Genomic DNA, 27089 nt, shown 5'->3' with positions numbered 1-27089 from the left:
CACCAGTTGGAGGGGCAGTATCCTGATTTCATCATTTCTAACTGTTGAAAGACAGCTTACATCTAGAAGAATTATTTTAGGAGTGATTTCTGAAACATCATTCTAATGTTTGTGTCTTGTCTTCTAATGTCTTCTATTAATATCTACAACCCTTAATAAATACTTATTTGCTTGAAATAACTACAGTGTATTCTGTCATATGCTTCTAATCTTCAAATAATAGACTAGCATATCACAACAAAAAAAGCTAGGAAAAAGAACTGAATAGATATCGTCTATTATGGGCTGAATTGAGTTCCACTAAAATTTGATTCCTAACTCCTCAAAATATGACTCTATTTGAAGAAATGGTCTTTAAATAAGTAACTAAACTGAAATGAAGTTATTAGAGTGGACCCTAATCCAATATAAATGGTGTTCTTCTATGAAGAGGAAATTAAGACATAGTCATGTACAGCACAAAGACCGTGGGGTGGAAACACAGGATGAAGATAGCTATCTACAAGCCAAAGAGAGAGAGGCCTCGAAAGAAAATGAATTTTGTTGAGACCTTGCTCTTCTAGCCTATAAAACTGTGAGAAAATATGTTGCTGTTATTGAAGCCACCCAATCTTAGGTACTTTATTACAGCAGTCCTAGCAAACTAGTACACTTCATACTTTACAGACAACATAATTATCTCCATTTACAATCCAAGAGACTCTACATGCTATATGAACTGAAGAGAGTTCAAGAAAATTGCAGCATAAGCAACAAATAAAGTAATCCCTCCATATGAGGAAAAATAATTAGAAATGGAATTAAAAGGATTAATAAATGTGTTATCTATGATTAAATCTAAGAGTACTTGGAAGTTATTAATGTTGAAAATATACACACTTTATTAAAGATGTAAAAAGGACTTATTTAATGGCTAATATGGCACGTTCACAGATTAAAATATTTATTTCATAACACTACACAATTTCCAAAAGAAGCCTAAAAATTTTACACAATACCAATAAAACTTCTCAACATATTTATTTGAGAAGGGTTAACCTATTTTAAAAGTTGAACAAGATGAGCATGTATCAAACCTACTTTTAAATTATTGTAATTAAGCCACTGTGGTCTTGCCACAGAATAGACAAGAGGTCAAATCTACTGAATCTATAAGACATAAACTTGACATGTGACAGTAGCTGTTTTATAAATAAATATGAAATAAACTAATTATTTAAAAATTGGTAATGGGGCAATTAGTTAACGAAGTTAAAAAATTAAAATCCTTTCTTACATCATATTTAGAAGTAAAACCTTTATCTGAGTTATTTACCCTTACCTAGTATTTTATCTAATAAAAAACTTAAATCTGAAAACCAAAACTTTCAAACACTTGGAAAAATAAGAAAGGGATTTATTAAGCAAAATTCCTATATTACAATTAAAAATAAAAGGTGAACTTAAAAGTCAATGTAAATTAAAATTATTAATAAGAAAGCAAAACATGCACTTGTAAAACCATATTTATAATATACATGACTAACGAATGGTTAATATTATGTGTTTATGATGATCTCATATCAAGAAAAAACAAATCAAAACAGAAAACAGAAAAGAAGGCAAAAGTTTTAACTAATTTACAGATGAGAAATTTTGAATGGTCACAGGCATTTAAAAATATTTGGGACCTCTCAAGTAATCAGAGAAATGCAAATTGCCAGAATTGGCAACATTTAGAAAACTCATAATATCAACTATTGGTGAGTGCATGAAACAATGGGAACGTTTATACTTCAGGCATAAATGTCTACAACTTTAAAGCACAAGTTAGCCATATGAATTCCACTTCAGGGTATACAACTTAGCAAATGTTCACAAGGAAATGTGGAAAGAACGTTCATTATAGCATTATATCTAATATTAAAATTTGGAAACAACCGAAACTCATTGGGCTAAGGGATATATTTAAATTGCAATATATTCATATTATGGTGGACCATACTAAAGTTTAAATGAAAGAAGTAAAAGTACATGTATCTACACATTTACACTCAAAAAGAAAATACAAAATTTTGAGTGAAGAAAAGTACATTTAAATATGAGTGCTGTAATTTAATTAGTATAATTAATCAATATGTAAAGCCTGAAAATAGAAAACTAAATATTATATCATTTTGTAATGCATATCTATATAGTACTAAAATAATGTCTAGCAAATTATAAACACATTTAGGGGAGTGGCTAGATCTGCAGCAGAGGGTAAATGGTACTAGAACTGAGTCCATAATGTTGCAGGCTTCAGTTTTACATTCTGAACTGGGAGATAAGAGTGGCTGTTCTGATCCCAGCACGTTAGAGGACTCTGTCAGACCCTCTTTTGTCAGCACCCATCCCCAGAGGACAAAGCAAAGATAAAGAACATGAACCACTAGAGCCCTTTCCAGCTGTTCTTTCTAGACCACATTCTGTAACTCTAAAATTTCTTAACCTACCATGTTCTATGTGGGCCACTTGCCCAGGCCAATTTTTATGAAATAAAGGCACAGTTCTGATTTTGTGCACCCTAGGCTCAAGGAGTAGCCAAATGGTGTCTATTTTAAAAGGTTTGGACAGAGATAGGATCTGAGTGATTAGCTATGAACAGACACGTACATGTGCACAATAGCCCTAATGCTTAAAGAGAGAGCCAAGGACAAAAAGAAAGGAATAAGAGTTGAAGGCCATGGATTCTCATTTTATTCTTGCCTCAAACTACTCTATGTTAGGAAAGAAAGTTTTGTTCAATGTATTTGGTTAAGAAAAGCGAGAAACAAATGTAAAATACATTAACAACTTTTAAAAGATGGCTTGGGTACATGGCTGTTTATTATTATCTATATTTTTCTACATGTTTAAGCTATTTCATAGTAAATAATATTTAAAATTAATGTTTACATACTTCTCAAAACAATCTTTTGTGTAGGAAGATAGCAGTGTGAACAGTGCAACTTGTGCCCATCTGATTAATGTGGCTCTGTTTGGAGAAAGACATTAAACACCTACTGAGAAAATAATCATTACATAAATATTAGTTTGTTTTTTTTTAATTTCAAGTTGAGTTGGTCTTGTACGTAGTGGCCATCCCAGCTGAATTTTTAGGGCCTAATAAGGAAACAAGTTAATCAAGTTATCAGTGTCTGCTTGTTGAATGAATAAGTGCATAACTAAATAAGGAGAATCTGAAAAACTGGTGACTTTAGGATTTCTATTTGTTATAGGAAATTAAATTGCTTCTGAATTTCTCATATTTATTTAGTTCTTTTGACAAATATTCACAAATAACTTACGAACAATGCTTTGTGTGAAACCCAGGCATATATATTAAGACATTTCTGTTTTTTTATCTGGTTGAGAAAATAGAAAACACACAAAATGTTTACTAACATTGAAATAATAGGAGAAAGTCCTGCCTGCTTCTGAAACAGATAAGAAAGGGTGGGCTCTTACCAAATAAATTTTCCTATGGACAATGACTATGAGCTCTAGAAAACAACAAAATAAACAAGCAAAACAACATTCCTAAAGTCCCTGAGAGTGAATAAAAAGCAGGCATATTTAAGAAATAGTTAAAACTTGAAAGAAATGGATACAAAGATGACTCAGGCACTGAAACTTGCAAACAGGAATGTTAAAGCAGATTTATGCAAGGATGGTTCAATATGCAAAAATCAATAAATGTGGCCAATCACACAACAAAATTTAAAACAACACCATATGATAATCTCAATAGATGCAGAAATAGCATTTGATAAAATCCAAGATTCATTTATGATAAATAATGCTCAACAATCTAGGCATCAAAGGAACATACCTCAAAATAATAAAAACCGTACATGACAAACCCTTAGCCAACATCATACTGAATTGAGAAAAGTTGAAAGCATTTCTCTTAAGAACTGGAACAAGACAAGAATGCCCACTTTAACCCCTCCTATTCAACATAGTACTGGAAGTCCTCACCAAAGCACTCAGGCAAGATAAAGAAATAAAAGGCATTCAATTTGGAAAAGAGAAAGTAAAATTATTTCACTTCACTGACAATGCAACCTTATTTCTAGAAAAACCTGAAGACTCCCCCAAAAGACTTTTTATCTTGATATATGACTTTAGTACAGTTACAGGATACAAAATCAACATCCAAAAATCAGTAGCATTTCTATACACCAATAACACTTAAGCTGATAACCAAGTCAATAACTCAATCTCATTTACAAAAGCCAACACACACACACACATAATATCTAGGAATACTTTTAACAAAGAAAGCAAAAGATCTTTAGAAGAAGAACTAAAAAACACTGATGGAAGAAATCACAGAAGACACAAACAAATGGAAAAACATCCCAAGCTCATGGATTAGAAAAATCAGTATCATTTAAATGACCATACTGCCCAAAGCAATCTACAGATTCAATGCAATTCCTATCAAATTACCAACATCGTTTTTCACAGAATTAGTAAAACAATCCTGAAATTTATGTGGAACCAAAAAAGAGCTTGAATAACCAAAGACATTGCAAGAAAAAAAGTGAATTTAAGATGAACTATACATGACAAATTATGCTGTCAAGTCTTCTTTCTTGAGAGCTAATTATTATTTATCTTGAGAACATCTAATGGGTTATGTCTGCTTGGCTGTATAAAAGGGAACAATTTATTTCTGTATTTTCAGTTTCCTAGCAGATTGTCTGTGATGCTCAAGCAGATTGTCTGTGATGCTCATCACATCCTGGTTTCATTATTCACTTTCTTTTCTAACTTGGTAGGAAGATTTTCTGAGTTCACAGGAGATTTTGTTTTCACTTATATTTCCATATGCCTGGTGACAAGGACAGGATGTCTAGGACTTCCCAAATTAAATGGAGCAGCTAAAAATTTATGTTCGCACAACAACCAGGTAAAAGATCCTCCAAGTGCTCTCCGCTTTTGGGAATATGAATCTGACAAACTTCTCAAAATCCAAATATTACTGTTGAATAACTGTGGAAAACATGGGCTCTAATAACCCATTGGGATCACCATGTGGTTGGAAAATATGGGAAGCCATGAATGCTGCCTCCAGGTCTTTCTCTTAAAGAGCTAATATTTTATGTCATATTTGAAATGTGTATGAGAATCCACTCTTGCAGTGGCTAAAGAATGCTTCTTTTGATTTAGATGAATGAATATGTTTGCAGAAGCTTATCCCAAGCAAATGAATTACTGGCACTTATGAGATAAATATCATTATAAAAATTATTTGAATTACTAAAAAAATACTGAGATAAATGAAAAAGAAAATGCCACCATTAAGCGCACTTTCCCTTTCACAGAATTCTTGTCTTCTTTCTCATCTGTCTTCAATAAATCCCTCTGCTTCCCTTACCACTTTCCTTCTCTCCCTCAGACTGAGTCCTGAAAAGAGAGAGGTGATGATGTTTGTATAGGTTGTTGCCTTTGTTTGTGAACTTCCCTGAAAAAATGGATGAGGAATCACAACTTCTTTGGTGATTAACAAATTACCTACTCTGAGGATATAATTACAGGTGCCTCTAGAGCTATCCCAGATTCCACCTCCAAGAGTTCCCTAACACCTTCACAACCTATATCTCGGTGATATGGTTTGGCTCTGTCCCCACCTGAAGCTCATCTTGAATTGTAGCTCCCATAATTCCCACTTGCTCTGGGAGTGTCCAGGGAGTACATAATTGAATCATGGGGGTGGTTTCCTCTATAGTGTTCTCATCCTAGTGAATAAGTCTCATGAGATCTGATGGTTTTATAAGGGAAAACCCTTTCACTTGGTTCTCATTTTCTCTAGCCTGCCACCATGTAAGATATGCCTTTCACCTTCAGCCATGATTGCGAGGCCTCCCCAGCCTGATGGAATTGTGAGTCCATTAAACCTCTTTTTCTTTATAAATTACCCAGTCTTGTATATGTCTTTATCAGTAGTGTGAGAACAGACAAATACACTTGAAATGCAGATTTGATAAAGATAATTAATCTGGAAATAATTGAGAACTAGGATAAAATACTCTACCTCCATATGAAGACAGCAGTATGGCGAGTAGATATTCTAATCGTTTAGAAAATGGTAAACAAACAAAGCTTTAAGCTGAGGAATGTCAACACAGGAAAGCAAGCCGAAGTGCCATGTAATTTACATTTATCTTGTCTCATTGCCAGAAAAACCATGCCTTTCCTATGTGGATAATCAGCAAAGCTGAGGACATCGGGAAGCAACTCAGGATTGCCAGGTAATTCATATTCCTTTCTCACCAGCTGATATTACATATTTAAAGACTTTTTTTTTCCTGTGCTCCAGACGCAGATGTACTTCACACAATGTTTTCAGTTTACAGCTCTTCTGGATGTGCACTGGTTAATGCATGGAATTCAGCAACAGCAGACTTTGTTCCTTTGATGGATCCAGAAGATCGCCACATCAAGGAATATGGTGGTAAAACTGCAAGATAATCTGCCACCCCTAACAACTATAGAAGTTCTAAGGATGTTAGAGACTCATAGAGAGGAATTCTAATGGCCATACTTGAACCGTTGCAGCAATACACTCAGAAGATTGGTGAAAGAAAAGAAAGGCATTTTGAAAGTGATTTTCAAAAAACAGTTAATCCAGAATTCCATATTTAGCAAAATTATACTTCAAGAATGAATGTGACATGATAATGTCAATGAAAAGAAAAACAAAATAATTTGTCACCCCAAAAAATTATTGAACAAGAATGCTAAAGAAAGTAGTGTATAACGTATATGGCTGTGAAATATATTATGATTAAAGCCTAGAGGATTTTGGAAGATGTGTTAAATGGGCATGTGTGTTTCAAGTTTTCTACATTTAAAGTAATGCTATAACATCCATTGAAGTAGGCTGAGAAATGTTAAGAATAAATATCATACCTGAGAATCAGTATCTGAGAGAAAAATAATGTGGGACATACATGTAATTTTAAAATATATAATAGCCACGTTTGAAAAAGCAAAATGAAACAAGTGAATTTATGTATTTTATTTAATCCAATATAATCATTGCATTATCTATTTAATATGTAATTGATAAAAATAAAATATATATATTCTTTTATTTTATAATTAATTTTTGAAATTCAGTTTGTATTTGACCCTTATAACAAACTTCAATTTTGATAATTTTTTTAAGTAGAAATACTTTATCTGCATTTGAATTCCTAAAACTTACAGGTGGAAAGGTAGCATAACATGCCTAAGTTGTTCAAACAATTTAAAAATTTTCCAATAGTGAACTTAAATGTAAGTTTAATATATATTTAAAATTAAAATTAAATAAAGCTAAAAATTCAATACCTCAGTGACAATAGCCACATTGTAAGTTCTCAGTGAAGATATATGACTAGTGGCTCCTAGGTTGAAAAGCAAAAATACATAACTGTATAGCTAAGAAGCCAATAAATGACTTAAAAATGTATTCCAAGCAATATTCAAATAATCAATGGAATAAACAACATGGGAAACAGTGAGGAATAATCATAAGGATCAGGCAGAATACAAATAATGGTCAACTCTAACTTGTCCTCCTTAATAATTATAGCATATGTTCAAAAAATATATTGTTTATGTATGATTTATAAGCTGCCTGTATGAGATAAAATTTAAATATAAAGACAAAGATTAAATATAAAAACAAAATACATTAATTAAAAAAATCATTCAAATAGCAAGCAATAAGAAGTCTAGGGTGGTTAAATTGATATCAGATAAAATATACAACCAGGCAGACTATTACAAAAATAAAGTGAGCCATTTTAGAACTTTAACAGGGCCAATTCATCAGGAAATCATAATAGTCATAAACATGTATGTGCCTATCACCATCATTGTAGGACAATTTAATATTCTTCTCATAAATTGCTAGAAAAATTTGTCCATCTATTTTTACACATTTTGGTCTCAAACCATTTATATTTTTAAAACTTTTCTTCATTAGGTTATATGTACTGTTACCATTTTATGAAATGAGTAAAAGTTTAATATTATTAATTTATTATTTAATTAATATTTTATTGAAACACAAATTCTTACATGCTAAATACATATCTTATCATTACAAAAACATAACTATTTGTTCAGAAAAGGAAATTAGATGCTTGGTATTATTTTACACTTTTTTTTAGATCTATTATGTAATTTAATAAAAAATGAATGGATTCCATTCCAAGTTGGCCAAATAGGAACAGCTCCAATCTGCAGCTCCCAGCATGATTGACACAGAAGACGGGTGAATTCTGCATTTCCAACTGAGGTACCTGGTTCATCTCATTGGGACTGGTTGGACAGTGGGTGCAGCCCACAGAGGGCGAGCTGAAGCAGGGCAGGGCATCACCTCACCCGGGGTCAGGGGATTTCCGTTTCCTAGCCAAGGGAAGCTGTGACAGACGGTACCTGGAAAAACGGGACACTCTCACCCAAATGCTGTGCTTTTCCACTGGTCTTAGCAAATGGCACACCAGGAGATTACATCCCGTGCCTGGCTCAGCGGGTCCCATGCCCACGGAGCCTTGAGCACTACTAGCACAGCAGTCTGAGATTGACCTGTGAGGATGCAGCCTGGTGGGGGGAGGGGCGTCTGATATTGCTGAGGCTTGAGTAGGTAAACGAAGCAGCCATGGAAGCTCGAACTGGGTGGAGCCCACCGGAGCTCAGCAAGGCCTGCTGCCTCTGTAGATTCCACCTCTGGGGGCAGGGCATAGCTGAACAAAAGGCAGCAGAAACTTCTGCAGACTTAAATGTCCCTGTCTGACAGCTCTGAAGAGAGCAGTTGTTCTCCCAGCATGGTGTTTGAGCTCAGAGAACAGACAGGCTGCCTCATCAAGTGGGTCCCTGACCCCCATGTAGCCTAACTGGGAGACACCTCCCAGTAGGGGCTGACTGACACCTCATACACGCAGGTGCCCTTCCGGGATGAAGCTTCCAGAGGAAGGATCAGACAGCAATATTTGCTGTTCTGCAATATTTGCTGTTCCACAGCCTCTGCTGATGATACCCAGGCAAACAGGATCCAGAGTGGACCTCCAGCAAAATCCAACAGACCTGCAGCTGAGGGACCTGACTGTTAGAAGGAAAATTAACAAACAGAAAGGAATAGCGTGAACATCAACCAAAAGGACATCCACACCAAAACCCCATGTGTAGGTCACCAACATTAAAGACCAAAGGTAGATGAAACCACAAAGATGGGGAAAAACTAGAGAGAAAAGCTGAAAATTCTAAAAACCAGAGTGCCTCTTCTCCTCCAAAGTATCGCAGCTCCTTGCCAGCAGCGGAACAAAGCTGGACAGAGAATGACTTTGACAAGCTGACAGAAGTAGACTCAGGAGGTCGGTAATAACAAACTTCTCCGAGCTAAAGGAGGATGTTCAAACCCATCACAAGGAAGCTAAAAACCTTGAAAAAAGATTAGACAAATGGCTAACTAGAATAAACAGTGTAGAGAAGATCTTAAATGACCTGATGGAGCTGAAAACCATGGCACGAGAACTATGTGACACAAGCACAAGCTTCAATAGCCTATTTGATCAAATGGAAAAAAGGGTATCAATGATTGAAGAGCAAATGAATGAAACAAAGTGAGAAGAGAAGTTTAGGGAACAAAGAGTAAAAAGAAACTAACAAAGCCTCCAAGAAATATGGGACTATGTGAAAACACCAAATCTACGTTTGATTGGTGTACCTGAAAGTGAGCGGGAGAATGGAACCAAGTTGGAAAACACTCTTCAGGATATTATCCAGGAGAACTTCCCCAACCTAGCAAGGCAGACCAACATTCAAATTCAGAAAATACAGAGAACACCACAAAGATACTCCTCGAGAAGAACAACCCCAAGACACATAATTGTCAAACTCACCAAGGTTGAAATGAAGGAAAAAATGTTAAGGGCAGCCAGACAGAAAGGTCGGGTTACCCACAAAGGGAAGCCCATCAGACTAACAGCAGATCTCTCAGCAGAAACTATACAAGCCAGAGGAGAGTGGGGGCCAATAATCAACATTCTTAAAGACAAGAATTTTCAACCCAGAATTTCATATCCAGGCAAATTAAGCTTCATAAGTGAAGGAGAAATAAAATCCTTTACAGACAAGCAAATGCTGAGAGATTTTGTCACCACCAGGCCTGCCTTACAAGAGCTCCTGAAGGAAGCACTAAACATGGAAAGGAACTGGTACCAGCCACTGCAAAAACATGCCAAATTGTAAAGACCATTGATGCTAGGAAGAAACTGCATCAACTAATGAGCAAAATAACCAGCTAACATCATAATGACAGGATCAAATTCCCATATAACAATATTAACCTTAAATGTAAATGGACTAAATGCCCCAATTAAAAGGCACAGACTGGCAAATTGGATAAAGAGTCAAGATCCATCAGTGTGCTATATTCAGAAGACCCATCTCACATGCAGAGACACAAATAGGCTCAAAATAAAGGGATGGAGGAAGATCTACCAAGCAAATGGAAAGCAAAAAAAAAAAAAAAAAAAAGAAAAAAAAAAAAAAAGCAGGGGTTGCAATCCTAGTCTCTGTTAAAACAGATTTTAAACCAACAAAGATCAAAAGAGACAAAGAAGGCCATTACATAATGGTAAAGGGCTCAATTCAACAAGAAGAGCTAACTATCCTAAATATATATGCACCCAATACAGGAGCACCCAGGTTCACAAAGCAAGTGACAGAACCAATGACAAAAACCACAAGATTATCTCAATAGATGCAGAAAAGTCCTTTGACAAAATTCAGTAGCCCTTCCTGCTAAAAACTCTCAATAAGCTAGGTATTGATGGAATGTATCTCAAAATAATAAGAGTTATGAATGACAAACCCACAGCTAATATCATACTGAATGGGCAAAAACTGGAAGCATTCCCTTTGAAAACTGGCACAAGACAGGGATGCCCTGTCTTACCACTCCTATTTAATATAGTGTTGGAAGTTGCGGCCAGGGCAATCAGGCAAGAGAAATAAATAAAAGGTATTCAATTAGGAAAAGAGGAATTAAAATTGCCCTTGTTGGCAGATGACATGATTGTGTATTTAGAAAACCCCATCGTCTCAGCCCAAAATCTCCTTAAGCTGATAAGCAACTTTAGCAAAGTCTCAGGATACAAAATCAATCTGCAAAAATCACAAGCATTCCTATACACCAAGAACAGACAAACAGAGAGACAAATCATAAGTGAACTGCTATTCACAGTTGCTACAAAGAGAATAAAATACCTAGGAATCCAACTTACAAGGGATGCAAAGGACCTCTTCAAGCAGAACTACAAACCACTGCTTAACGAAATAAAAATGTACCCAAACAAATGGAAGAACATTCCATGATCATGGATAGGAAGAGTCAATATCATGAAAATGGACAAAATGTCCAAGGTAATTTATAGATTCAGTGCCATCCCCATCAAGTTACCAATGACTTTCTTCACAGAATTGGAAAAACTACTTTACAGTTCATTTGGAACCAAAAAACAGGCTGCATTGCCAAGACAATTCTAAGCAAAAAGAACAAAGCTGGAGGCATCATGCTACCTGACTTCAAACTATACTACAAGGCTATAGTAACCAAAACAGCATGGTACTGGTACCAAAACAGATATATAGACCAATGGAACAGAACAGAGGCCTCAGAAATAACACCACACATCTACAACCATCTGATCTTTGATGAACCTAACAAAAACAAGAAATGGGGAAAGGATTCCCTATTTAATAAATGGTGCCGGGAAAACTGGCTAGCCATATGTAGAAAGCTGAAACTGGATCCCTTCCTTACACCTTCTACAGAAATTAATTCAAGATGGATTAAAGACTTAAATGTTAGACCTAAAACCATAAAAACCCTAGAAGAAAACACAGGCAATAACATTCAGGACATAGGGATGGGAAAGGACTTCATGACTAAAACACCAAAAGCAATGGCAAGAAAAGCCAAAATAGACAAATGGGATCTAATTAAGCTAAAGAGCTTCTGCACAGCAAAAGAAACTACCATCAGAGTTAACAGGCAACATATAGAATGGGAGAAAATTTTTGCAATCTACCCATCTGACAAAGGGCTAATATCCAGAATCTACAAAGAACATAAGCAAATTTACAAGAAAAAACAACCCCATCAAAAACTGGACAAAGGGTATGAACAGACACTTCTCAAAAAAAGACATTTATGCAGCCAACAGACACATGAAAAAATGCTCATCATCAGTGGTCATCACAGAAATGCAAATCAAAGCCACAATGAGATACTATCTCACACCAGTTAGAATGGCAATCATTAAAAAGTCAGGAAAAAACAGATGTGGCAGAGGATGTGGAGAAAAGGAATGCTTTTACACTGTTGGTGGGAGTGTAAACTAGTTCAACCATTGTGGAAGGCAGTGTGGTGAGTCCTCAAGGATCTAGAACTAGAAATACCATTTTACCCAGCGATCCCATTAGTGGGTATATACCCAAAGGATTATAAATCATGCTACTATAAAGACACATGCATACCTATGCTTATTGCAGCACTAACCACAATAGCAAAGACTTGGAACCAACCCAAATGTCCATCAATGATAGACTGGATTAAGAAAATGTGGCACATATATACCATGGAATACTATGCAGCCATAAAAAAGGATGAGTTCATGTCCTTTGCAGGGACATGGATGCAGCTGGAAACCATCATTCTGAGTAAACTATCACAAGGACAGAAAACAAAACACTGCATGTTCTCATTCATAGGTGGGAACTGAACAATGAGAACACTTGGACACAGGGCGGGGAACATCATACCCCAGGGCCTGTCATGGAGTGGGGGCAGGGGGAGGGATAGCATTAGGAGAAATACTTAATGATGACTTAATGGGTGCAGCAAACCAACATGGCACATGTATACCTATGTAACAAAGCTGCACGTTGTGCCCATGTACCCTAAAATTTAAAGTATAATAACAAAAAAAAAAGGATGAATGGATTATCATATCAGCTTCTGCATTTAATCTGTTGCAATACATTGTTTCGTTGGTTGTGTATAAAGAAAAACTTGGCTTAGATACATATGATGCTTATAAATGGAGGAATATTTTAGTAAGTATTTCAGGTAAGGTAGTATCTTTTTGATACCACATCATAACTTGATTAGTTTGGTAAACTAAAGCTCAATTTTAACATGAAAAATGAATCCATATTAGTAAACTTTCATATGCTTCTACATTGAAACTCATCATTCTATCTTGCACGCTTGCTGCATGGATCTTTGAGGGTTCTTGGTGGCCCCAGGACTACCTGGATTACACTTTGAGAATCAACAAACTACACAAAAAAACAGCAAATATGTAGATTGCCTGAGCAACATTATCAACCATAATTATATAATTAGTATTTATGGAATACTATACTCAACAACTGTAAAATTCACGTTTTTAAATTATATCTGGTATATTTATTACAGAGTAACCATATCCTGGCCTAAATAGTAATTAAAATGACTGGAATCAAACATACATTCTAACCACAATAGAGTTAAACTATACATAAATACTGAGAAGACAGTTAGCAAAATAGCAAACATTTAAGGAATTAAATAATAAATATCTAAACAATCCGTGGATCTAGGAGAAAGTAGAAGGGAAATTAGGAATAGTTTTACCTGAATCATAATGAAAATAAATATCATCGTTTTTGATATAAAGCTAATTTAGTGCTTCAGAGGATATTTTTGGTTTTATTTTTACAATTACATTTCAAAAGATAAATTCACTAATCTTTTGTCTTATAAAAGATAAGCTTGTCTTTTATAATTAAAAAGATAAATTCACTAATCTTCCACATTTAAAGATTAGATAAAGGAGAGCAAACTAAAATCAAAACAGATATAGGAAAGGAGATTAATAAAATAAGATCTTAAATTAACATCGCAAAAACATAGATAATGGAACAAAAGTAAAGTCAAAACCTGGTTCTATGAAAAAAGATCAACAAAATTAACAACCTCAAAACTAGATGGATCAAGAAAATAAGAGAGACAACACAAGCCAACAATATCAAGAACAAAAGAGGCGTTATCAGACAGAAACTGCAAACATTAAAAAGATACTGGAACAATATTATGAACAACTTTATGCCAATAGTACTTAGTCACAATGGACAAATTTCTGGCAAAATACAATCTATTAAAATTAATACAAGCATATTCTTAGATTTATATAAAATTTACAGCATTGAAGAATATCCTCTGCAACCTTAAAAATCAATAAAATTTAGAAAACTATTTGACATCAAGACCGACTATAAAGTACAATAGTTACTACAATGTAGAATTAGCTTTACAAATTTCAGATATAGAAATGAACAGAAGAGAACCCAGAAATTATATATCAATTACCTCATACAATATTTTTTTTTCCCTAAGAAGTTGCCAAAATAATCCAGTGGGAGAGGCAAAATTTTAAACAAATGTTTCTGGAGTCACTGGATATCTATGTGGGCAAAAATGGAAATTTGAACTCCTTATTTCATATTATATACAAAATATAATTTGATATTGATCATAGACCTAATTATAATAGTTAAAACCATACAACTTTTTAAAAAGAAACATGAGAGAATATTATTGTAGCCTGGGGCTAGTGAAAAGATTCTAGTTAGGTCACATAGTGCCATAACCAAAAGATAATGGAAGAAAACAGTGATTAAAATTACTCAAAGAAAAAACTTCTCCTCATCACACATTGCCAGAAAGATAATAAATAATCAAGCCACAGAATGGAAGAATTTATTTGCAAAATATACATCTGACAAATGACTGGTATCCAATAAATACAAAGGACTCCTACAACTCAATAAAAAGGGAAAACAAAAGAAAATGAAATAGTCAAAGATTTTAGTAGGCACTTCAAAGAAAAGCAAGTGAGCAATAAGTGCATGAAAAGATCTTCAACACCATTGACAAAGGAATGTAAGATTTGTGCATAGATTCACCAGAGAAATAAAACCAATTTCTCTCCATCATATCGGTTCTATTTCCCTGGAGAACCCTGAATAATATATGCACAAATATATTGGAGAGAGAGAAAGAGAGATTTTAAGGAATACACTCAAATAATTGTGGGGTAGGCTGGTAGGTGGGAGACCCAGGGAAGAGTTGATATTGCAGCTAGAATTAAAAGATGACAGTTTACTGTCAAAATTTCCTCTTCAGTTGATGTCAGTCTTTTTTCTCTTACGGTCTCCAACTGATTGGATTAGGCCAAGCCACATTAAGGAGGGTAACCTGCTTTACTGAAAGTCTACTGGTTTATATGTTAATCTCATCAAAAATATGCCTTTCCAGAATCATCCAGTGTAGTATTTGACCAAATATCTGGGCACTGTGGCCTAGGCAGATTGACACATAAAATGATTCATGTAAATTAAATCCACCACAGTGCATTTTTGTTTTTACATTTTATATGAAAAGAAAAAGACAGCAAAGAATTTTTAAACCCTAGCTAAAGACATGGAGGCTAAAATATTGGTGGAGGTGGGGTAGTCATAATGGCTGCAATTTACATTAAAATGTATCAAAAAACTCTGACGGATTGGTGAACAAACATTGGAATAGATAGATACATAATAAAACAAGTATCATGGAATGCTAGATTTTAGATTGTGGGTGTACAGATATTCACTGCAATGTTGTTTCATGTTGAAACAAAATAAGTTATGTGCCAATCATGTATTTAAGGGTGAAATTAATGGAAAAGGGAATTGAGAGGAGGAAGACTCACCATAGAATCACTTGATCATCATATATTTGCAGCATGACTTTGACAAATGAGGAGAATATCATAACCAGAAGGAAAGGATGGTGAACTAACTCTTAAGTAGAACTGAGGCTTCAGAATAAAGAATGGGACACTCGACTGTAATACAATTAATGTTGGAGAGTGCTAACTCTAATATTCTCCATTACCTATGTAATAAAAACTATCTTAGTTAGGTTTTCACTTAGGAACATAAGGGATCTGGGGCCCTTTTCCTTTCCACCATTAACCTTTCTTATTTACATATGTGGGTCACGTAGTCTAATTCAGTGCCGCTCCAATTGAGCTTGAGAAGAGATTTCTCATCTCTAAGAGTGCCCTCAATTTACTGTGACCTTCTGGAACTCTTTCTTCTCCCCAGCACAGACTTTGCATGTACCACCTGTCAGTGCTTAGTTAAAATGATACCTCACTTGATTTCCCATGGTATCCAAGTTATCTCTTTTACCAGTGCTTTATCAAACCACTTTATTTGTATTGCTTTTAAAGCATTCATCACATTGTTTAAATTAATCCATTTTAATCTTTGTATCCACTTATTCAATCACATTATATACAAGTACTGTCTTATTTGCCCAACTAGAACATAAAGTCATCCTGGTCGGGAACTGTGCCTTATTTACCTTTCTTCTTTCTTAATTCTTAGTGTACACTTCCTCTACAACATGGACTAAAAATAAGTTGGTAAACGTGTTAGATCTCTATTACTACCTAATAAATTATCACAAATTTGGCAGATTAAAATGACATTTATTATTTCGTAGTCAGGAGTCTAGAAACTGCTTAAGTGCTCCTACGTTCAGGGTCTAACTATGCTGCAATCAAGGTGTCTACTAAAACTGTGATCCTAAATACAGTTCTATTCCACGCTTATGTGGATGTGGGCAAAATTCATTTTCTTGCAGCTTTATAACATATGGCTTGGCTCTTTCAGGACAGCAGGGAAGAAGAAACCTTTAATATCTTCTATCTCTGATATCCAGACCCTCTTATATAGTGCTCATTTGATTAGATAAGATTTAGCCAGGAAACTTGCCTTTTGAATAACTTAGAGGCAAATGATTAGAGGTCCTAATTGTATCAGTAAAATCTTTTCACCTCTGCCATATAATATAACATGATTTCAGGAGTGATAGCTCATCAGCTTTGCTATGTCCTATTGCTTAGGAAAAAGTTACAAGTCCTTGCCACACTAAAGGGGAGTGAGTTGCACAAAGATATGGGTCAGTAGGAGTCATCTCAGAATTATCTTTACCATAGGGAATAATAAATAATAATGATACATGTTTGCATAATTCATTAAAATGACCAAAAAGACATCGATGCAGTTGCACATATTATATCATTGAATAAGCTGACAGGGAGTAGTCAACATGTGTGTTCGCCAAGCACTCAGTACATGTCTCTGTCTCTGTCATAACACTGCAAATTGGATAATCATGGTTGTTTTCTAATTTTTCTACATTTTTAGGTTCTTGACATTTGTCTTTAATGAGTTGCTGTCTTTCCACTGCCTAACAATATGCTTGGTTCATAATGAGATTGCAATTGTGGATTAATAGATATAGTAATACTCAAAGGAAATGTAAATTATTAAAAATGGCAATTGAAGGTAAAACACCAGCATTCAGAATGGATGATAAATGTGTCTAAAGTGAAAGATATAGAATTATAAATTTATGCATGGGAGCATAAAATGTTAGTTGACATGTTAGGAATACTTCTGCACTCAGATTTATTTGCTGTTTCTTAAAATCTTTGATCAAACCTTTCTAAGGTGTTGAAATTACCATAGCTCCATGTTATATTTTCACTGAAAACAAGAAGTATACATAGTACAAAGCAAATTTCCTAAGGGCATAATGTATTTATGGCTCAAAGAATTTTATATTTCAGGTTTTTTTAAACTCTGATTTACAAGAATAGTCTATGCTTAATGAGCTAACAAATTTCTTAAAAGCTTGTTTTTTCAACTCCAGCATACAACAAGGCAATAAAAACAAAACTAAAAGGGAAAAAACAGTATTGACCTGTCTTCTTTGTTGTGGCTGGCAGACAATAATTGTCTTAGTCCCAATTCATAGAATGTTAATGCAGCATTTAAATGGCACATTAGTGCATCCCTTCTATGGAATAAAATTTATTGCCAGTTCTCTCCTCTTATGAATCTCTTCTCTTTATCTAATAGAGTAGTTGTAAATGTAAGCATGGCAGAGAAAATGAAGTAAATTTGTTCCATAATGTATTATATTATCTCACAAATTTGTTGTTTATTAAAAGCAGGATAATTTTGCAGAATAGGCTAAAGATCCTTTCTGTAAGCAAATTTTATTATATGATTTGTTTTAAAATTTAGAATTAATGTTTAATTACTCTAGCAAGTTCTACTTCAAATAGCATATCTATTTCTTGAAAGGATAATATGAGGTACAGTTAAAAGATGTCTGCTGTTCCTACAGCAAGTAAATAAAAAATTAGGGCATTTTATTTTTTAACACATATTTTATGAAACTCTTAAAAATGAAGCTGGCTGTGTGAAATAAAATATTTATTCAGGCAAACAAATTGCTCTGAAAACAAGTTTGTTTTTTCCTCTCAATTGAGCAGCAAAAAGTTTTTAAAAATCTGTACTTTAATTTTTTTTCTGAAATGACCCATACAAACACAACAATATTTATAATAGTCAGAGAATGGAATGCTGTAATTTAAAGCAGATAATTTTATTTCAGCCTATATATGCCAAACCTATGTACGATAATTACTAGTCTTGAGCACATTACTTAAACATTTTTTGCATTGGTTTATTCACAAAAAGATGATAAAACATATACCTCATTTTTTCATGTTGAGTTCACCATGTTGCACAACAAATCTCTCAATCTTATCCCTCTTGTCTAACTCAAATTTTGTACCCCTTACTCATTATTTTCCCAATCCTCCCAGCCCACAGCCCCAGGGAACCATTATTCTACTCTGCTTCTATGAGTTAGTGGTTTTTAGACTATATAAGTGACATCATGTGGTATTACTTTTTCTGTGCCTAGCTTATTTCACTTAACATATGCCCTCCAGGTTCATCCATGATGTCTCAAATGACAAAATTTCCTTCTTATTTAAAGGCTGAATTGTATTCCATTGAATACATGTGACACATTTTCTTTATAGATTCGTCTGTTGATGAACACTTAGGTTGATTCCACATTTTGGCTATTGTACATAATGCAGTGAAAATGGGAGTGCAGCTATCTCTTCAACATACTGATTTCAAATCCTTTGCATATATACCCAGTAGGAATTGTTGAATCAAATGGTAGTTATAATTTTTGAGGAATACCCATACTGTTTTCTATAATGGCTCTATTAATTTATATTCTCACCAACAATATACTAAGGTTCCCTTTTATCCACATCCTGTTCAACACTTTAAATTTTGACCTTTTGATAAAAGCCATTCTAATAGATGTAAGGTGATATCTCATAGTTTAATTTGTAATTACTTGATAATTAGGGATGTTGGACATTTTCATATACCTGTTGGTCAAATGTATATGTCTTTTTATTTTTGAAAAATGTCTATTCAGGTCCATGGCCCATTTTTAAAAACAAGGTATATGTTAATTAGTTTGATCTAGCCATTCCACAATGTATGCATATGTCAAAACATTATGTACACCATATATATAAAATTTTTGTCAATTAAAAACAAAAATACATACCTTAGAAAATTGTTGCAAATGTTAATTGGAAAATTATATATAAGGCATACAGAATGATGTCTTTCATGGTGTAAGCTGTTTAAGCATTGCAAGTATTATTATTACTGTGTCTCGTTTAGACTGTTTCATAAGTATAGACATTTTTATTATAATTTTAAAAATAAAAACTTAATGTAGTCAATTAAATTTTAACAAAATCACAATGTAGTAATGCTTTACACAGTAGGATATGTAAAGATCAATAATAACAATAACAGCATATGTTTCTCTAATATTTTCCATAAATCTTTATGCCTAAATTGTAGCAAATCATGTGCTATGCAGATCTAGTAACTGAGGTTAAGTGATTAAAAGCTTACTTCTGAATCACAAAATAATTGGCAAAAGTGAGATTAATTATGGTTTTCAAATCTAAATTCCATACTTTTCATTCTAAATGAAACATATAAATAGTAATTACCATTTAAAGAATATTGGTATTCTTTCTCTCGTCATTAGTGATGATTGTTTCCTTATTTGAGATCTGGACTTTTGTAGGAATATTTTAATTCCAAATTTGTAAAGAAGGGCAATTTCTCAGATAAACAGAAATAAGAAATGAAGGGGAGGTTGCATTTTAAACTCAGACTTTTGAAATGAGCATATTGAATTGGACACATACAATTCTCCTACACATGTAATGGAATAGAAGAAGAGACCTGAAAATAAATGGCAATCATAAATTGCTTAACTTCAAATTATTACAATTTATGAGCTCTGCATTGGGAGTAAAGAGTAAACAGAAAAAAAAAGACTTTCATGAGAAGGTAAGGCTTAAAGTTGATAAAATGTTGTTAATCTTGCTAAAGGTAAAAAATATATATTGATATATGAGAAGCAGGAACACACTTTTGATATATCTGATATATCTGTAACTTCTCTCACACAGTGACTAGTGGAAGTTTATTTTCTATTTCTAGAGCATTATTAAAGGCTTTGCATTATGAAAATATAAAAGAATACCTTTCTATTTATGGTATGAGAGCCCATAGTAGTCATTCTTATGGTCCTCTTGAAGGAATCATATATAAATATGTTCTGCTAATATTACTGCTTTACAATCATATTGAATTAATTTCTGCCTCTAAATATTATGACATTTAGTTCAGTCACTGTGGAGGTAGACTTTCCAAAGGCACTTTGAAATGGAATGGGCAATTGCCATAGATTGAGGGGAGCTAAGGTGTGAGTCAGTTATTTTGACATCTATATGAAAAAAATAGTTTCCGCTGGTTCTACTACTTTCTAATATCTGAACATTTTGACTCTGTTTAAGAACTAACAGTTCTAGGAAGAACATAGTTACAAATACATTGTTGATTTGTTATGCCTACATTTCTAAGTTATGTAGGAAAAACTGCCATGCCTTTTATAGCTCAATTTTTTTATGGGGTATGGTAGATATAATTGTAGGTGAAAAATTTAACAGCTGAGGGTATTAACTTTGTCTTCAAAAACATCTTAATAAAATTTGAAATAAAAATTGAAAATCTGATTATGTAGGATATCAACTGTCAAAAGATAGGGCAAAATATAAATATAGCTTCCCTTAATGAGAGTAAAGCATTTCTACTCTGAGAGATGAAAAGAGCACAAGATAAAGAGCCAAAGTGCAGTGGAAATAAAGGTTTGCAACATGGTAGAATCCTAGAAACGTATAAAATCCTATCCTAGTGACTCCTTGGTCATTCTTAATGGGAGTTTTTTAGACTTTATTTTATTTGATTTCTAAGCATTATAACGGACTCTTAGCATAGGGGTTAGGGGTATGGATGCCCTGCAGGGTCAACGATTTGTGTATAACTTTTGACTCCCTCAAAACTTAATTACTAATAGCCAACTGTTGACCAGAAGCCTTATCAATAGCATAGTCAATTTACATATATTTTGTATGTTATATGTATTTATACCATATAAAATAAAGTAAGTCAGAGAAAAGGAAATATCACTAAGAAAATCATAACGAACAGAAAATATATTTACTATTTATTAAGTGGAGGTGGATCATTTTGAAGGTGTGTGTCTTCACAGTCTTCACATTGAGTAGGATGATAAAGGGGAGGAAAAGGCGGAACTAGTCTTGCTATTTCAGGGGTGGTAGAAGTGAAGAGATGGAGGAGGTGATAGGAGAGGTAGGAGGGGTGGGCACACTTGGAGAAATTTTATGGAAATACATCATGATTTCTTTCTGACTCTTCTGCTTTTTTTCTCTAAAAATGTCTATATATGGCACCAATCCTTCTTCCCGTTTGTTTTAGTTTTAGTGTCCATATTATAGAACGGTCCATTCCCAAAATAGGTCAAAAGCAATCTTAAATAATCTTAACTCTTCTGCCAGATTGTCCAACATCAATTTGTTTTCTGGCACTGCTTCTGCTGCTTCTTTTACAACCTTCTTTTTCATTGTCTGGCACTGGTTTGGAAGCACTCATCTCCATCAAGTCATCTTCTGCTAATTCCTCTTTTGTGGTGTCTAACAGCATTCTTGAAACCCTTCATTCCCCATCTCTTTTTTGTGTGTGTCATAGCCACAATCTCTTTCATGATTTCCTCGCTTATCTCATTGTAAATCCTATGAAGTCATGCACAACCTCTGGACATAGCTTTCTCCAGCAGGAATTTATTGTTTCAGGCTTGATGGCTTTCATATCTTTTTCTATAACAAGGATGGCATCTTCAATGGGGTAATCTTCACAGATTATTATGCTGTTCTCTCTATCAGGGTTCTTCTTTTTGTCATTGATGATTCTTTCCATAGATTACCATGCTTAATAAGCCTTTAAAGGTCCTTATGAGTCCCTGATCTAGAGGCTGAATTTGAGATACTATATTTGGGGGCAACTAGACTACTTCAGTACCTTCAGTGTTAAACTCATGGGGTTCTGAGTGTCCAGGAGCATTGTCCAATATCAGAAAACATTAAATGGAAGTCCCTGACTGGCAAGGTACTTCTTGACTTCAGGAATAAAGTGTTGATGAAACTAATCAGAAAAAAGATTCTCATTGTCCAGGGCTTTTTGTTGTCAAACCAAAAGACTTCCCTCTGATGTTTATCTTTCTCCTTCAAGGCTCAGAGGTCAGCAGCTATAAGGTAAGGTCAAACCTGATCATAAAGCCGACTGCATTTGCACAAAGCAGTAGAGTTAGCCTATCCCTTTCTGTCTTAAATCCTGGCTTGCTTCTCTTCTTTACTAATAAATGTCCTTTGTGCCATTTTATTCCAGAATAGCACACATTCATCTGCACTAAAAATCTGTTCAGGCAGACATCCTTTCTCCTCAATCATTTTCTTAACGGTGTCTGGGGACTTTGCTGATTCCTGGTCAACAGAAGATGTTTCTCTTGTTAACTGACATCTTTTACACTAAATCTCTTTCTAAAATTATCAAATCATTCTTTGCTGGCATTAAATTCTCCAACTTTAGATCCTTCACCTTCCTTTTACATTAAATTGTCATGAAAGGACTTCACTTTTTTTCAAATTGTATTAAAGTATATAGGTATGCCTTTCTTACAGCAATCCCATACCCACATAAAAGCTGCATTTTCAGTATGAGATGAAAAGATATTTTCAAAAAGCATAAGATTTTCATGCTTGGTGGTGTTGCTGCAGTGACAGCTTCACAAATTTTCTTTTCTTTTTTTACAATGGTCCCTATGCTGGATTTATTTATCTTGAAATGGCAGACAACCACAGCTGCAGACCTCAATATATGATACCTATCAAGCAATTCAAGTTTTTTCTTGCAATGTCATGACTTTTTTCTGCTTCTTGGGAGGACTTCCAGCATCACTAGTGGCTCTTCATATGAGTCCCATGGTGTTATTCAAAGTTTATGGTATTGCACTAAGCGCAATGAAAAATACATGAGCGCTGTGAGAGATCCCTTTTTGCTGCAATATATGATTACTAGAAAGACAAACTGCTCACATGAAGACAACTAGCATGTTGTCATGGCATTTCAGTAGATACTAGCAACACATGAGCACACCGCAATAGCAATAGGAGATGTCTATGAAATTACCACAGTACTGCCTTATCTAATAACATATGTGGTACATAATGTACCACAGTAGTACATTATGTAATATCAAACTGCTCACGTGTAGACAACTAGCATCACATGGCCTTTTTGGTAGATACTAGCAACACATGAGCACACTGCAGTAGAAACAGGAGGTAGCTATGAAATTATCACAGTAGTACGTTATGTAATACCATTAATTTTATGCCATTACAATTTCATACTTCATTTTTTTGTTTCTCTACATTTTTCTCAATTACAAATGCAGCCATGAATAGTGTGTATGTGAGTGCATAAGTTTTGATAAAGTTTAACATTTTATAATAAATTTCTGTATATTTTCTGCCAGTAAGTCATAAAATAAACTAGTATCTACATACATTTTATGCATTTATAACATGCCTTATTCTTATTTTTAAAATATTTTTAGGCAAACTCTCATCTGTGAGGTTTTCGAATTGTCAAAAATCTCCAAAAAATTTTCCCATATATTTATTTTAAAAATCCACACATAAGTGGACCTGCACAATTCAAAGCCATGTTTCTCAAGGTTCAATTGTGTTTAGCACTGTTGACAACGCTCTTGTTTAAACATATGTTGCTCAGAGTTGTGATGCACACTGCTCACCTGGATTCTTTCCCAACTGGCCACTTAATTTCAGTCATCTTTTGTAGGATTAGCTAATCCTTATTCAGAGTTCCTCATTGTTTAGTTTTAGGTCTTTACCTCTTTGTACTCCATGCACCGAAATAAACAACTCAGCTAATTCAGTTATTGAGAAAGAGTCATATGGCTCCAATTAAATGCAAAGTGTTGTGACTGTAGTCTTGCAAGGTGTTAAGGAAGAATAAAATATGGATATATTTATTAATTAGCCACAATAAATTATAGCAAATATACAAATTATATTAATAGGATGTTTAGAGTATAGCCCAAGGAGTTACAATTGGCTCAAACATGTCTGAAGTTTCTGAAGTCAATTATCTAATAGAAAATGAAATGGTTTAGCAGACTGAAAATTAACTAGCAACCAGTTGTCAGGTTTTTTGTTGTTGTTGTTATTTACTATATACTAACAAGAAGAATTACCTCTTTACGTGATAAGATATATAGAAAACTGCAGGAAGCAATTAAGTACATTTCTACTGACTAGATAAAAAGGAAAACCTAAGTTTGATTAGAACAAGTAATTGTGACCATTACATAAGATTTTTGCTGCAAGCTACTGGCCCTGGATTCTTTCAATGTATGAGGTTGATTTGGACGGGAACTAGAATACATTCATCAACAAACAGTGAAAAGCAAAAGAGAACCTATGTGAAGTCTCTTTCCACTATAGCATTATCATGTTTTAGGTAGTGGAAAATAAATTGGAAATTACAGAAACAAACAACTTTTGGATGTGTCTGGTTTTGTGATGAGGCGTTGAATATAAAAAATAAACAGCAGGCACAAAATAAAAAATAAAAAAAACAGGATTGCAATTAAAGTTATTGAGGAAAAGAAAATGATTTAAGCCTGAGACTCCATCTTTCGTCTTGTGACCCTGAATTTTCATTTTATAAGGAGGTTCATGAAGTACAAGAAATATACATCTACAAATCATACATTTTACTGATACAAATAATGTGTATGTAAAACATTTTTGTGAATTCCATGTATCTATTTTTCTGGAAAACGTGAGTTGATTTTGCTAAACTTTTATATCTGCAGCAATTATATTGTTGGAAGTGATAAGCAGATGTAGTTCTGACATTGTTTCTTAATGTTTTTATTTACATTAATGAATAAGGTGAAAATAAAACAGCAAAGACCTTTGTCAGAAATTCAGTCTTTTTTTTTTTGAGATGGAGTCTCCCTGTGTCGCCAGGCTGGAGTGCAGTGGCGCAACCTTGGCTCACTGCAACCTCGGCTCACTGCAACCTCCACTTCCCAGGTTCAAGCGATTCCCCTGCCTCAGCCTCCTGAGTAGCTGGAACTACAGGTGCGCACCACCATGCCCAGCTAATTTTTCTGTTTTTAGTATAGACGAGGTTTCACCATGTTGGCCAAGATGGTCTTGATCTCTTTAGCTCGTGATCCGCCTACCTCGGCCTCCCAAAGTGCTGGGATTGCAGGTGCAAGCCAACACGCCTAGCCAGAACTTCACTCTTTCTTCAATTATAGGACTGTATGTTCAACAATTTAGCATAAATCTTCACAAGCCTAAATATCTACTTTTTGTTTTATTTTGTTTACAAAGTGCTCTCATACTTGTTTTTAATCTTTTAATTTTTCTTTTAAAAATGTGAATTCTATATCAGTAAATATCTACCCCATTATGTTTCACTGTGTGTCTGGAATTGGTTCCTCACAGTGAGTGTTAAAGTTCTTAAAGATGGCGTGTCCAGAGTTTCTTCCTTCTGGTGGGTTGGTGTTCTCACTGACTTCAGGAATGAAGCTGCAGACCCTCGTGGTGTGTTACAGCTTGTAAAGGTACTGCTGACCCAAAGAGTGAGCAGCAACAAGATTTATTGTGAACAACAAAAAAACAATCCTTCCCCAGCATGGAAGGGAACCCAAGCAGGTTGCCTCTGCTGGCTGGGGGGCCAGCTTTAATTCCCTTATTTGGCCCCACCCACGTCCTGCTGATTGGTCCATTTTACAGAGCACCGATTGGTCCACTTTACAGAATGCGGATTGGTCCGTTTTTACAGAGTGCTGATTGGTGCATTTACAAAACTTTAGCTAGACACAGAGCACTGATTGGTGCATTTTTACAGAGTGCCGATTGGTGCATTTACAAACCTTTAGCTAGACACAGACCGCTGATTGGTGCGTTTTTACAGAGTGCTGATTGGTGCATTTATAAACCTTTAGAGAGACAGAAAAGTTCTCCAAGTCCCCACCCAACCCAGAAGCCCAGCCAGCTTTGCATCTCAATTGTTTAATAATATGCAGATTCATTATTCATCTTAATATTCCATTATTGATGGATATTGGGTTATTTCTGACCTTATCTCTATTTTTGATCAGAATATTTCTATCACTATAAAACTTATACATTAAAAATGAAATAAAGGGGCCGGGCGCGGTGGCTCATTCCTGTAATCCCAGCACTTTGGGAGGCCTAGGTGGGCGGATCACGAGGTCAGGAGATCGAGACCCTCCTGGCTAACACGGTAAAACCCCATCTCTACTAAAAATACAAATAATTAGCCAGGCATGGTGGCGTGTGCCTGTAGTCCCAGCTGCTCGGGAGGCTGAGGCAGGAGAATGGCATGAACCCCGGAGGCAGAGCTTGCAGTGAGCCGAGATCACACCACTGCACTCCAGGCTGGGTGGCAGAGTGAAACTCTGTCTCAAAAAAAAAAAAAAAAAAAAAAAAAAAATGAAATAAAGGACAAATGAAATAAACAAGATTAGTCATTATTATTAAATATTAATAAGTTGTCTCACTCCTGTGTAATAATATTGATTTTTCACACAC

At 34.6% G+C, this 27089-nt stretch overlaps 1 long non-coding RNA gene across 1 annotated transcript in view; it reads left to right on the top strand.

The window, feature by feature from the left end:
- Positions 1-27089, top strand: part of LINC00448 (long intergenic non-protein coding RNA 448) — a 135075-nt gene that overhangs the window by 68806 nt on the left and 39180 nt on the right. The window contains exons 3-5 of the long non-coding RNA NR_047029.1: positions 5822-5891; positions 6190-6260; positions 6359-6460. This is a non-coding gene — a long non-coding RNA (long intergenic non-protein coding RNA 448). The remainder of the gene's footprint in view (positions 1-5821; positions 5892-6189; positions 6261-6358; positions 6461-27089) is intronic.

Source organism: Homo sapiens, chromosome 13 (genome assembly GCF_000001405.40).
Source record: "Homo sapiens chromosome 13, GRCh38.p14 Primary Assembly".
Lineage (NCBI taxonomy): Eukaryota > Metazoa > Chordata > Mammalia > Primates > Hominidae > Homo > Homo sapiens.
The sequence above is the reverse complement of the archived record's forward strand: the minus strand, read 5'-3'. Positions and strand labels throughout refer to the sequence as shown.